This window comes from Homo sapiens, chromosome 20 (genome assembly GCF_000001405.40).
Source record: "Homo sapiens chromosome 20, GRCh38.p14 Primary Assembly".
In the NCBI taxonomy this organism is placed as follows: Eukaryota; Metazoa; Chordata; class Mammalia; order Primates; family Hominidae; genus Homo; species Homo sapiens.
The window spans coordinates 59,485,136-59,500,309 of NC_000020.11; the positions used below are offsets into that span (position 1 = coordinate 59,485,136).

At 45.8% G+C, this 15,174-nt stretch overlaps 2 annotated features.

Annotated features, from left to right (window-relative positions):
• Positions 10,773 to 11,273: an enhancer, noted in NCBI's record as "H3K4me1 hESC enhancer chr20:58070963-58071463 (GRCh37/hg19 assembly coordinates)". NCBI's record gives its function as "activates a minimal SCP1, AML or CMV promoter by ChIP-STARR-seq in naive H9 embryonic stem cells {active_cell/tissue: H9 hESC(naive)}" and the evidence as "EXISTENCE:reporter gene assay evidence [ECO:0000049][PMID:30033119]".
• Positions 11,011 to 11,060: an enhancer, noted in NCBI's record as "active region_18188". NCBI's record gives its function as "activates an Ori minimal core promoter by ATAC-STARR-seq in GM12878 lymphoblastoid cells {active_cell/tissue: GM12878}" and the evidence as "EXISTENCE:reporter gene assay evidence [ECO:0000049][PMID:35858748]".

Here is a 15,174-nt window from a genome sequence, read left to right on the forward strand (position 1 = left end):
CATGGACCCCCTGAAACCCCTTGTAATCCACTAGCAGCCACTAGAAGGAGACGCCATCATTTCTGAGCTTCACCATGGCTGGGAGAAGAAGCACAGCAGCTGCTCGGATGTTGAATAATTTCTGGTTCTCTTTTTTTTTGAGACGGAGTCTTGCTCTGTTGCCCAGGCTGCAGTGCAGTGGCGTGATCTGGGCTTATTGCAACCTCTGCCTCCCGGGTTCAAGTGATTCTCCTGCCTCAGCCTCCCAAGTAGCTGGGATTACAGGCGTCCATCACCACACATGGCTAATTTTTGTATTTTTAGTAGAGACAGGTTGGCCAGGCTGGTCTTGAACTCCTGACCTCAGGTGATCTGCCCACATCGGCCTCCCAAAGTGCTGGGATTACAGGCATGAACCACTGCACCCGACCAATTTCTGGTTATCTTTAAGAAAAAATTAATATTGTTGTTGTAATTGTCTTCTTGCTCCTCAGTCCCACCAATTTGCTGTCTCCACCATATTTCAGGGGCTCTGAAACGATAGCCCCCATTACTTTCTCCCCTTGAGAAGGGCTACCTCTTCCCTCACCAATGGTCCCATACCTGATTGCTTGTTGGAAGTTCCTGGGATGCTCTGAGGACATGCTGCTGACTGGGAGTCACCGCCAGGGATTTGGATGTCATCGGATGGGGATGAACCTGTGCTCAAGGGTGATTTGAAACCTCAGGCGAGTCTGATGATTGACCGAGTGTGAGATACCTGTGCCTGGACAAACATTTGCACACATCAGGGCTGGTTCATTTGCACCCCCAAACACTCAGCCTAGTTTTGCCTGTTATTTTTAAACTTTATATAAATGGGATGTGTCTGTTTAGGATGCAGTCAACACTGTGATGTCATTCATAGTGCGCCTGGTCTGTAGCAGGGGTTGGCAGACCTTTTTGGTAGAGGGCCACATGGCAAATGTTTGAGGCTTTGCGAGCCACCTGTCATCTCTGCTGCACAGTTTGCTTTCTTTCTTTTCTTTTCTTTTTCTTTTTTTTTTTTTACTTTTATAATCCTTTAACTATCCTTAGTTTGAAAGCTATGCAAAAGCAGGCCCCAGGCTGTAGCATGTGTTGACTTCCTGCTCTAGTTGATTCATTATCATGGTATATTTCCATTTTATGAATATACAAATTTATTCTACTGTTGAAGGATATTGGGGCTGTTGGCAGATTTGGCTGTTATGAAAAATGCTGTTATGGGCAGCATGGAGCATGTCTCTTGGGATACAGTTGTGTGTGTCTGCTGGGTACATACCTAGGGATAGAACTGCTGGATCGTAGGGTTATGGTATCTCCACCTTTAGGGGATAAGGCCACACAGTCTCCTGACATGTTCATAGCAATTCACACTCCCACCTGTGTGTATCAGAATTCCAGTTGCTCCACACCCAACTCGTGGCCTGCCATATTTCCAATTTCAATATTGCTAATGGGTATATAATGTTTATTATCTCATTCTGGTTTTCGTTGGCATTTCTCTGATTTCATTTGCATTACCATGTGATTTGTTCACAAAAGATAAATTCAGCAAAAGAATGAAAAAGAAACAGACAAACCCCTCTGGCAGGCATTCGCCCTGCACTCGGGACCTGTTGCTGTGCCTGGCTCCGGGCCGCTGTCTCTGCCCATCTTACAAGACTGTGCATGGACCCCCTGAAACCCCTTGTAATCCACTATACTAATAAGGTTAAGTATATTTACATAAGTGTATTGGCTCCTTAGAGATCTTTTATAAATCACCTGGTCAAGTCTCTAGCAAAGCCTCCACCCCTTCTTTTCAGCTTGCTTATTTATTTATTTATTTATTTATTTTTAGTAGAGATGGGGTTTCACGGTGTTAGCCAGGATAGCCTCGATCTCCTGACCTCGTGATCGGCCCATCTGGGCCTCCCAAAGTGCTGGGATTACAGGCGTGAACCACCGTGCCCGGCTGCTCTGTTAATTTTTAATCAATGGTTTATAGTAGTCATCGCACATTTTGAGTGTGAGCTTGTCATCATTTACATGTGTTCCAAATATCTTCTCTCACTCTAGACCTCACGTTGTACCCTCTCAATGCTTCCTGTGAATGATCAGAAGTTCCTAATTCACGTAGAAAACTTTATCAATCTCTTTCTTCTCTGCTTAGTGCTTTTTGCATCCTGACTTTTAGAAACCCTTTCCTACTTTAAGGTCATGAAGAATGTCTCCTATATTAGCTTTTAGAAACTTTGTTTTAGTTTACAGAGTGTGTCTCTTGGTGCACTTGTCCACACCTTTTTGCTGGAATTGATGTTCGCCTATGGTGTGAAGCAGTGCTGGAGATTTGTTTTTCTTTTTAATGTGAATATCCAATTGGGATGGCACCATTTATGGAGAAGAAGATCATTACTGGCAGCTTTCAGTATCACTCTTATTATAAATCATGTGTCCATACATGTGTGGGTTTGTTTCTGGTTTCTCTTTTTTCTTCCGTGGACCCGTTTATTTCTCACATCAATACGACACTGTCTGAATTCCTGCAGCCTTATCATTAGTCTCAGGGTCCAGCACAGCAGCCCTCCTCCATGATTGTTCTTTTTCATAAATGATTTGACCATTCATGGCTCTCTGCATGCCATACACTGGAGTCAGCTTGCCCATGATCATGTTACTGGAGAAAAATTGTCTTTATTTCTACCTTTTCTTATTCCATATTGATTTACTGTGTGTTTGTTCCCTGGCTAGCACCCCCAGGACAGTGTTGAACAGAAATGGTGATAATTTGGGCATTCTTGTCTCATTCCCAATGTCAAAAGGAAAGCTTTCAAATATTTCATGCACAAATGCAGTGATTGCTCTAAACTTGTTTCTGTGTGTGTTCGTGTGTCTGTGTGTGTGTGTGTGTGTGTGTCCACTCTTTATTACATAAAGATTTCTTTCTATTCTTAGTTTTCTAAGGATTTTTATGATGACCAGATTTTTATTTGCATCAAAAGTTTTTCTACTTTATTGAAAGAATCATGTGATTTTTCCCCCCGAAAATGTGGTGAAGTCTGTGAATTTAATTTTCAGATGGTATGCCAGCCTTGTATTCCTGGAATAAACCAACAGGTGTGTATGTAACACAACTGCATTTATTTAAATGGAACATTTGTTTGATTTCATATAAAACAAGTTTCTCAAAGAAATCCTGCCAGCACAGCAGTGTATGTATTGATTAAGAGTCCTGGTTTAGGAGATGCACTTCCGGAGTTCAAGCCCTGGCTCTGTGTTTCATTAGTTCTATTTTTTAAAGCCATAAGGAAGAGTCCTTAACCTCATTGTGCCTCAGCCTACCCACCCTGGTAACATCAGGATAATAGCCGTATCTATATCACAGGACCGTTGTTAGAATGGAAAGCAATCATTCATGTAAAATGCATAGGCCCGTGCTTGGACAGTGTGAGCCCCGTGCACAACCATTAGTGATGTCTGTGTCCTTGGAAGAGGCACCACTTCATCCTGCAGCCAAGACCACCCCAAGGTTTGGCGATTTGCCAGGGATTTGCTAGGGATCTACTCAGCATACAGTGATACTCACAGCTATGATTTATTACAGCAAAAGGATGCAGAGCACAATCAGCAAAGGGAAAATGTGCATGAAGTAAAAGTCTGGGTTTTGTTGGGGGCTGGTGCTGTAGGCATGCTCTTAGCACATACCAAATTTCCGAGTCCCAGGAGGAAAGCAGGTATCCAGCATATACCATACTGTTTGCATAAAGAAGTTGGGTGCAGTGAGCCAGTCTTAGCAGTTAATGGTGGGGACTCTTCTGAAATCCAAGTCCCCAGGTACCAGCCAAAGGCCTACCTTGCAAGCAGGCCTTTTTAAGCACAGCCGTGTAGGCCTGCTGTGTTGACTTTTCCACACGGTGTGATAGTCTCCTTTCATGTATCATTGGATTCAGGTCATTGTGTCTCCTTTCATGTATCATTGGATTCAGGTCATTGTGTCTCCTTTCATATATCATCGGATTCAGATTATTGTGTCTGTGGTTCTGGTATCTCTGTTGCTAAGTGAGATTCAGCCATCTTGAAGGTCTGTGTCAGGCTTTAGTGCCCATGTTACGCTGACCTCATCAAACACGGCAGGAAACAGTCCTTTTTAATTCTCTCCAAAGGCGTAGGCAATATTGGCATTATTTCCTCTTGCTGAACTTGGTAAACTTCATTAGTGATGCCACCTGGGGCTAGGATTTTCTTTTTAGAAAGAGTGTAGGAGTATTCACATTTTTCATTCTTTTTGAGTCCGTTTTAATAACATATGTGTATTTAAAAAAATTGTTCATTATCAAAGTGTTCAAGCTTCTTAGCAGAAAGTTTTTCATAATATGCTCTCATCTTTTTAATATCTGTATGATAAAAATGTTCTAATTTTTATTCCTGATATTGGATATTTGTGCTTTCTCTCTCTCTGATTGATGCCTGATGTCTGCTACTTCTCTAGGTTTTAATTCACAATATTTTGGTTTTTAAAATGTGATTTAATAGATTTTTTTCTGACTTTTTACCTCTGCTACTTATCACTGGTATGACTGTGGGTAGATTACATAAATGCTTTGGGCCTTTCTGATCACTGTTATAAAATAAGGGCAGTGACTTCTACATGAGGCTCTTGTGTCGGATCTATGAGAGAATGAATGGAATGTACCTAACGTGATGCTGGGTAGACCTTCAACAAAGGCAAGCTGTAATTGTTTTAAAGCTGGCTAAAGGCCGGGCATGGTGGCTCAAGCCTGTAATCCCAGCACTTCGAAAGGCCGAGGTGGGTGGATCACCTGAGGTCAGGAGTTTGAGACCAGCCTGGCCAACATGAAACGCCATCTCTACTAAAAATACAAAAATTAGCCAGGTGTGGCAGCGCATGCCTGTAGTCCCAGCTACTCAGTGGCTGAGGCAGAATTGTTTGAACCCGGGAGGCAGAGGTTGCAGTGAGCCAAGGTCGCACCACTGCACTCCAGCCTGGGCAACAAGAGTGAAACCCCGTCTCAAAAAATAAAAAATAAAAAATAAAGCTGGCTAAATTGGAATCATAGGAAAATATATAATACAGCAACAGAACAAAAATTAGAGGTGGGGATAAAAAATTAAAAATGAAGCAAAGGAAAAAAATAGAAAGTACCATAAACAGAAACCATGAATGAGAAATACATACTTGCTAGAAGCGACCACTGATTTGCTTATAAACTCATTCTCGTCAACCTGGAGTTTGTCCTGTAGGGAACCCCGGGCCGCGTGCCAAGGGCTGAGAAAGCTGCAGGATGAAGTGGTGCCTCTTCCAAGGACACAGACATCACTAATGGTTGTGCACGGGGCTCACACTGTCCAAGCACGGGCCTATGCATTTTACATGAATGATTGCTTTTCATTCTAACAACGGTCCTGTGATATAGATACGGCTATTATCCTGATGTTACCAGGGTGGGTAGGCTGAGGCACAATGAGGTTAAGGACTCTTCCTTATGGCTTTAAAAAATAGAACTAATGAAACACAGAGCCAGGGCTTGAACTCCGGAAGTGCATCTCCTAAACCAGGGCTCTTAATCAATACATACACTGCTGTGCTGGCAGGATTTCTTTGAGAAACTTGTTTTATATGAAATCAAACAAATGTTCCATTTAAATAAATGCAGTTGTGTTATTTAGTGGGATACAAGCTCTGAATGCATTTTGAAGAAATAACAAAAATGTTGGGACTTCGCACCACTCCATGGTGCGTTCCCTCTGCGCATCCCAGACTTCCCGCAGGAGCTCGGCTTTTTCCCTGTGCCTCTGGGACACTGAGGTGGAGAATGTGGATGGAGAAAGCCGTCCGTTTTCTCTCAGTCATTATGGCACAGTCGGATCCATTCCATCAGCATTTCCCCAACTTGAGCCGATTTTCTTTTAGAGAAAAAGAAGCTGCAAAGAGCTCTAAGTCTGTTTGAGGACCCTGTAGGCTGAAAACTGCGGATTTAAAAATCTCAAGTTTTAGAGGATGAAAATATCTTTCAATTTTATTTCCTTTTTATTTATTTATTTATTTTGAGACAGAATCTCGCTCTGTCACCCAGGCTGGAGTGCAGTGGTGCAATCTCGGCTCACTGCAAGCTCTGCCTCCCGGGTTCACACCATTCTCCTGCCTCAGCCTCCCAAGTAGCTGGGACTACAGGCGTTTGCCACCACGCCTAGCTAATTTTTTTTTTTTTTTTTTTTTTTTTTGGTATTTTTAGCAGAGATAGGGTTTCACCGTGTTAGCCAAGATGGTCTCGATCTCCTGACCTTGTGTTCCACCCGCCTTGGCCTCCCAAAGTGCTAGGATTACAGCCATGAGCCACTGCACCCAGCCTCAATTTTAAATTAATAATTCAACAGAGCAGATTTATCTTTCAACTTGTTACAAACAAAACAAAACAAAAACTTTTGAAAAATTACCACTGAAAAGAACCCAGAAAAAGAGAAAACATATCATGAAACAAAGCTCTGGCCTAGATCTCCCACGCATCCCCATGGGTCTGCAGTCACCAACAACACTGGGATGGCTGATGGGTTGTGTTCTTCAGGATAAAGCAAAACTATTGCTTAGGAGTATAGCCATGCTGTCCCTAGTCAAGGCTGCCTTTGTTCACCTTTTTAGCCGGCAACTCTCCAGCGCCCAATGCACAGCCCTCTCTGGAAGTCCGAATGGATTGGATGGCATTGTCTATCTAGAGCGGGATGTGGGTCCCAGCACAGCCACTCCCTCCCCATCTCCCCAACCCATCTACCCAGCAGACCTGAAGGAAACCCCACCGACTCCATTGTGTTCTCCTTGTAGACAGAGCCTGTTTCCCTCCCCAACTACACAAAGGACTCAGATTTCCACCCTGGTCTCTGTCTGGCCTGCTGGCGAAGGTGTCTGGACCAAGTGCAACTCAGCCAGCCATGGGAGCTCCTGGCTATGAATGGACCTTTCTACTGTCCACTTCCTCTCAGAGGGCGATGGACACCCACAGTGGGTGTTGTTGGGTGGGCTCAACCCTCACACCATCCCTGCCGATGATGGTCCCTTATACACAGGAGCTCCTGTTTCATCAAATTGCTGTTGTGATGTGTTTGTTACATTCTCTCCCTCCATTCAGAGACGGACTCAGAGGCTTGCCTCGGACATAAACTCAAAAGACAGGGTAAGTGAGAAAGTGAGACAACAGGAATGAACTCAAGGGTGAGGAACCCAGGCAGCTTGGGAGGAGGTGAGAGTACAAATCACCTTCTCTCCTCCCCGGGTCCTGTCATCCCTGGTCCCTGCCAAAGGCGGGTGGACCTCACACTGGGCTCTGAGCCTGTGCTTTCCAGAGCGGGGGCCCAATTACCCTTGGCTCCTGGCTGTGGACTGGGATAATATAAAGCCCCTGGCACATCTTCTACCTTGAAAACTTAGAAAATAAAAAAGACCATTATTTCATACCCCAAAAGACATGCATAAATAGGGAGAAAAACATCAAATTTTAATTAACTTTAAAGCTCAAGGAGAAAAAAAAGTGATCGAAATTGAATGCTTTCATCCTATCACTCCAAACTCAGCAGGGTACATGGGGACCTTCTATTTGTTCAACTCTGGAAGAATTTGATAGAAAAATTGGTGAAGACTTGCTGTAGCTCCTCTTTCAGCTGTTAGAAACCTAATCACATCCATGGCCGGGTGCGTGGCTCACGCCTATAATCCCAGCACTTTGGGAGGCCGAGGGGAGCAGATCACCTGAGGTCAGGGGTTTGAGACCAGCCTGGCCAACATGGTGAAACCCCGTCTCCACTAAAAATACAAAAAAATTAGCCAGGCATGGTGGTGTGCACCTGTAGTCCCAGCTACTTGGGAGGCTGAGGCACAAGAATTGCTTGAAACTGGGAGGCGGAGGTTGCGGTGAGCCGAGATCACACCACTGCACTCCAGCCTGGGTGACAGAGCAAGCAAGACTCTATCTAAAAAAAAAAAAAAGAAACATAATCACATCCACAATTCACAGTGCAAAGCAATTACACGGCAGCACGACTATTCTGGACATTTCTGGATGTTAGTATCTTTGCTGTTGATATTCTCCTTCTTCTTGTTCTCAAACCAGCTCCATGCTGCTCCATGCCAGCGCCTTGCCCGCCTTCTTCCCTCGCTCCCTCCCACATTCTATCCTCTGAAATTCCATGATTCTGCCGTTCCCTATGCCAGAGGAGGCTGTCTCATTAGACCAGTGGTTCTCCAATCTGGCCACTCAGGAACCTCATGTGGGGTGTGTTTGAGAATATACTCATGTTGCCAGAGATCCTGACCTAAGTGAATGGAATGGGGCTGAGCATCAGATTATTTAAAGGTCTGCAGGTGGTTCTGAGGTACAGCCTGTTAAAAAGCTGCTGTCCAAGACCCATGTGTGTGGAAGGAATGGCTGGTGGACCCGCCACCCCTCCAGGAGGTCTCTGTACCAGAAGGAAGCGTCTTAGGGTGAATGCTGTACTGCGGCAGCTGGTACCACCGGGGTCCCGCGCACTGTGGGCTGACTCACCATGCCCCACCCTTGATGAATTATTTGCCAGTTCAGATATGGTCATCCATGAACCAAAATCTGGACTAGGCAAAGTCTAATACAAGGCTACTGTCTCCTACACTCAAATATCCAGAGAGTGGTGTCTTAAGCTCTCATATGTTAAGTTTGGGGAATTGGTCTTCTTCCCTCTGGAAATCTAGATAAGACACAAAGTGAGCATTACTCTGAGGATACCTTGCCCTGGGAAGTTTGGAGATTGATGATGTTTCTAATGGCTGAGAAAAGGGCTTGGAGATTGGGGACCACGGGGACAGACAGGTCTCATCCAGGCAGCTCCTGGGGCATCACTCCAACCAGGCTCTGGCTTTCAGGGTCCGAGAAACCCAGCCCAGGGCAAGCCCTCTCCCTGGGGGAAACAGCTCAGAGCCCTCAGCACCACCATGCAGAAGCAGTTTTTCTTGCTCCTGGGGAAGAGGCCTGGGGGCTTTCCTCTCAAGTGCTTACCCTCCACCTGGCTACCTCCAACCAAACAGCAATTCCCTCCTCATTCAGAAAGTTTAGAACTTTCTCCCAGCTTCTTTGAATGGCGCTTTCTTTGCATCCATCCTCTTCAGGCCCTCCGCTTTCACATATGGGCTCCCCCTTTGTCCGAGTCCTGTGTTGGGGTACAGATATACCCACAGATGGCATGAGCCACTGTTCAAATAATGGACCATCCAATCTGTCGTGACACTACTGTGTGACAGCCCTCAGACACCGCTGTGTGTACATGTCTCTAGAAGCACAGGGGTGAGGCCGCTTCTCACATTTTATAGGACAAGGCACGGAGATAGGAAGGCATAAAAGGAGAATTTTAAAAAATTACCTGCACTGAGATCTTGAACCCCCAAGAACCCAGTGCTCCCCAATTGCTGTGTCCCTCGACACAGAGAGGGTGAGGGATCATGACCTGGGAGGTGCTTGTGGTATGGGGGGATCGTTGTGCACCCCTGCTCACCCACCAGCCTGGGCAGCTGCAGGGACACCAGGCCTTTGGAGGGGACTGCCGTCTCCGAATTCAGCACGCGGGTCGTGGAGGCCTGCGTGTCCTCTGTGTACACGAATGCTCTTCTCCCGCAATCATTTCCTGACCTCATTTAGACGGGCGTGACTCACTCTCCTCAAAACACGCAATCCCCTTCCTCCTCTGGGAACTCTGGATCTGCCGGGAAGCGCTGCCAACTGGACTCTAAAGAAGAGGAGTGGCCAGGTGCAGTGGCTCACGCCTGTAATCCCAGCACTTTAGGAGGCCGAGGCAGATGGATCACTTGAGGTCAGGAGTTCGAGACCAGCCTGGCCAACATGGTGAAACCCCCGTCTCTACTAAAAATACAAAAATCAGCTGGGCGTGGTGGTGCATGCCTGTAATCCCAGCTGCTCGGGAGGCTGAGGCAGGAGAATCTCTTGAACCTGGGAGGTGGAGATTGCAGTGAGCTGAGATTGCGCCACTGCACTCCAGCCTGGGCAACACAGTGAGACTCCCTCTCCAAAAAAAAAAAAAAAAAAGAAGTGACCACTTCCCGACATCACATGGGCCTGTGGTTTAGTCTTTGGGTTGAAATAGTGCATCTTCCTCAGTGTGGATGATGATGGCTGCCTCTGGCGTTGGAGGCCTGCTGAGTTCCTGCACTGATCCTGACCTCCTGCTCCACCCACACAGCAGCCCTGTGTCCCGTGGTGCCCAAGAGGGGACCGAGCTCCCACACCAAGGCGCTGCGCTGGGTGGCAGTGTCACGGAGTGGACATGATCCAAGGACTTAAAGGAATACTTTGTATCCACGTGCAAATACAGCTGTAATATTTTTGTAGAATACCAAATTCAAATTTATTTTTCTTAGGGAAAAGAGTATTCCAGAGGAACTGGGGTTTACATTCAGGCCACCTCAGTCTCTCTCCTTTTCCCTGCCCATGATGTCCTCACAGGTGGGGTCCCCTCAGTCCCCTCTGACCCAGGAGGTCTTTGGGGGCGATGTGCGAAGGAACAGTGTTCAGCTTTGTCTCAGCACTAAGAGAAAGGGAGATGATGAAAACTAGCCCCTGGTTACACTGCGTGCTCGCCAAGCCCCAGGGCTGTCCTCACACTCGCTTCTCAACTTGGGGTGATTCTGCCCCCCTAGGGGACAACTGGCAGCGTCTGGAGACATTTTTGGTTATCACACAAGGTGGGCGCGCCCCTGGCATCTATCGAGTGGAGATGGGGTGCTGTGAGACACCCTGCAGTGCACGAGGTGACCCCCACCACAGAGGGTCACCAGCCCACCCTGGCAATATTGTCGAGGCTGAGGAGCTCTTCCTGTGGCTGCTGAAACGACCACACATTGGGTGCTTGAAAGCAGCAGAGAAGTACTCTCCCTTCTAGAAATCTGAAATCAAGGTCTGAAATCAAGGTCCGTGCGCCCTCTGGTGGCGCCAGGGGAGAAGCTGTCCCTGGCTGCTCCAGCTTCTGCCAGCTGCCGGTTCCTCAGGGGTGCCGTCCTCACTCCAGTCTCCAGGACCCACATCTTCAGGTCTGTCTCTGCTTCAGCTTCACCCTCTCCTCTGTATGTGCCAAGTCTCCCTCTGCCTCCTTCGGATAAGGATACCCATGGCCGCATCCCGGCCCAGGGATAATCTTTCCTCTTTCAGATCTTAACTTCATCCCATCTGCAAAGTTGCTTTTTACCTGTAAGTTCACATTTACAGTTTCCAGAGATTAGGGCATGAATATCTTTTGGTGGGGGGTATTGTTATTCAGCCAACCACACATATATTGACAAAATCCCCACAGCACTCTATAAGGTAAGCGCCTAATAATGGCCCCACATTACAGATGGGATAACTGAGGCACACACAGGTTAAGTCACCCACTCCGTGCTGGGGCTGGGATGGAACCTGGGCTACGGGATCTGGAATTCACCCTGAGTTTCTGCTCAGCTCTGACTGCCTTGGTGGACACAGAGTGGCAATGCAGCTCCTCAAACTCAAGCAACTTCACTTTCTCATGGAGACAGCACTCAAACCCTCAGGACAGATGTGAAGATCCCAGTGTGAAAGACTCGGATTTAAGAATCGCGATCATTAAATCAGGAAGATGTCTTTCCATTCGGATTTTGCAGGATGACTGTGCTTTTATATTTGTTAAGATAATGTAAAACTTCTCATTGATATGAATTTTTAAAAATATGTGACTTGTTGGGAATTTTCCTCCGGAGTGCTGTGCACACTGTCTTGGATCTGAAGGTGGGTTAGTTTGCCGGAGCTGCTGTAACAAAGCACCATGAATGAGGTGGCATAGAACAGTGGAAATCCATGGTCCCACAGTGCCAGAAGCTGGCAGTGTAGAATCAAGGTGTCGGCATAGTTGGCACCTTCCGAAGCCTCGAGGAAGGATCCGTTCCAGCTTCTCCAGCATCTGGTGTCCCCAGGTGTCCCCTGGCTTGTGGCAGCCATCCCCATGTTCCCATGGCATTCTCTCTGGATCGGCACAATATCTTCTCTCCATGCATCTAAGTCCAAGTTTCCCCCTTTTATAAGGACCCCAGTCATATGGATTAGGGGCCTTATCTCAGGTATGACCTTATCTTGCCTAATTGCAACTGCAAAGGTTCTATTTCCAAATAAGGTCACTTTCTAAGGTACTCGGGGTTTCAGAACTTCAATGTAGAAATTTGGGGGGACCACAATTCAACTCATTGCAACAGAATTCTATATTAAACATTCTTCAGACAAGTTTTACTATGTCTATATAATAAAAGAAAGTGTTTTAAGAGAGGTGCAACTTCTCTATGCTTACTACTTTTGTTTTTATTAATATTATCATTACTTGTTGTTTCATGTCTGAACCCCTTTGGTCCTGCAACAGACCCGGCTGCCCTGGTGCCTGTGGCCTCAGCCACTGTCATCCTCAAGTCCTGGCTGTGGGTGACCATTTAGTACAGGCCATTGAAGCCTGTGTCCACATCCTCCAGCCACAGATCCTCAGGAACACACTCATTGTTGAATGAATTGGGTTTATTACTCATTGCGGTGAGGGAAATGCTTGCTATAGAGAACCACAGGGCTTCTCGGTAAAAGGGTGCTATTAAAACCTACTACATCAGTTATTTGCCTGGGGATGGGGAAGTAGGGGCTTTCAGGGTTGGCATGTGAGATGGGAGAAAGTGTCCTTCAGATCTCTGCTCCAGATATAATCTGACCTGGGGTCAGACCATGCTGGATCAATGACGTGGGACAGCTGCATGACCACTCATCAATTAATTAAACTTTCTGACCACAATGTGCTCAATCAAGTAAGAATAGGCCGGGCCCGGTGGCTCTTGCCCGTAATCCCAGCACTTTTGGAGGCCAAGGTGGGCAGATCACCTGAGGTCAGGAGTTCGAGACCAGCCTGGCTAAAATGGTGAAACCCCAGCTCTACTAAAAATACAAAAATTAGCTGGGCATGGTGGCAGGTGCCTGTAATCCCAGCTACTTGGGAGGCTGAGGCAGGAGGATCACTTGAACCTGGGAGGCAGAGGTTGCAGTGAGCTGACTGTGCCATTGCACTCCAGCGTGGGCAACAAGAGTGAAACTCTGTCTCAAAAAAAAAATGAGAATTTTAGCATGTACCTTGCAGGACTGAGTGGGAGAGAGCATGTGAAGTGCCCACAATGGCCCCCCAATTAATGGGAGCTCCTATTTAATCAGATCACCACTGTTGAGTATGTATTCATACACCTTCTAGTCTCCATGAGACTTTCATGGGTCGCAGTGACACACAGAACAGAGCAGAGCAACAGAAAAGTGCATGTGTTGGGACGTGAAATGGGCAGGGGTGAAGCTGGAGCATGGACCGCCTGCCCTCTGACCTGGGCACATGCAGAAGGGCTGCCTCTTGGGTTCAAGCCCTGGATGAAGGTTGCTCACCCTCAGGGGTCCTTGTCCATGTGCTGGAACTATGTGAAGTTTAAGGGCAGAACTGGTGTTTCCTATATCTTACAATTAGACCATTAAACATGTCATCATTTTACTCATCACAAATATGTCTAACTTAGGGAAACTAAAATATAAGGATTTTGAAAGATAAAGCAATATAATTCAAAGGCATTTAGGCAATGGACCAAATCCCTTAATCTTAAGAGCCTGACTTCTGCAGGGACCCGGAGCATCTCTTCCAATAAAGGTGATAGACAAAGAACTGGAAAAGTTGGGCTGTCATCTTTGTAGCATCTACCAGAGAGAAATACAGTTGCTTCCCATGACTGACAATTGTCTCTGAGTTAAAAACAAAGTGATTGTCCAGCAGCAAAACCATCCCTGTTTATATTTTTATTGGTAATGTTGCTACTATTTTGATTTCCTCTTCAGTTCAACTGAATTGGGCACCATTCCCTGCTTGTCCACACTTTACAATTAGCCAGGCAGTCTTTAAAAATATCCAATACCAAGAAGCTCTCTTCCTGCTTAGGCTGTAGAAAGTCACAAGAGATTGTTGCTCCCACCTTAACCTGAATAATCTATGAAATTATAAGTGTTTTGAGCCCATCTGAAAGCGGAGGCTACAAGGCAACCTAGGGAAGTAGATTCCAGGAAGTGACAAGCCCCTCTGAAGACAGAGTACATACACACTGTCTTACCTTGGGCACAGATGGAAGGAATAGGTGATCACCCTAAAAGTGCTAGGGGAAAACAGGTGAAATTGTAGCAACTCTTAAAGGCTGCTGACACAGGCTAGCATGACAGTTTGGAACACCCGGGAAGCCTAGACTCAAGGGGTTCCACACCCTCTTGTTAGCTCTTTTCCCTGGATCTCTGCTAGATGCTGCTGAGAAAGATCAAGAGCAGGGCAGGAAACAGAGCCTTATGAGGGGCTGCAAGAACAAAGCCCAACTGTTTCTCCAACTCTCCTCTCTCATGACACTATAGCCTCAAGATGCAGAAGAGCTGGAAAGCTCCCTACTCACTCTTCTAAAGCAAAGATCTATTGCCTTGAGGGGAGAGGGGAGTGTGGAAAATAGATCAATGGAACATTTCCAACTGAAACACAAAGAAGAAATTAAAAAAAAAACAAAAAACATAAAAGAGCATTCAAGAACTCCAAGACAATAACCAATGATCTAAAATATCTGTAACTGGAGTCCAGGAAAGGGAAGACAGAGAGAACAAGGAAGAAGATATATTTAGAAACTTCTCAGCAATGACCTCTTCAGCATTAATAAAATACAACAAACTGCAAATCCCAAAAAGCCAGAGAACACAAAGCAGGATATATGCAAAAGAAAATACACCTTGATGTATCACAGTCAAGCTTATAAGAAGTGAAGATAAAGAGATCTTAAAGACATCCAGAGAATGAAGAACATTACATACAGAAGGACAAAGATATCAATTACAACAGACTTCTCATCAGAAGCTATGTGAGCCCAAGACAATGGAACAATATTTTTAATACTGAAAGAAAGAAAAACCCCTATCAGTGTAGAATTCTACATTCAGTGAAAATATCTTTCAATAATGAAAATGAAATAGACTTTTTCAGAGAAATGAAAGCTTAGGAAAAATGTGACCTGTGTACTGCACTGAAGAAATATTCATGTTCTATGTTCTTCAAGAAGAAGGAAAATGATATGAGTTGGAAATTTGTATCTACACAAACAAAATA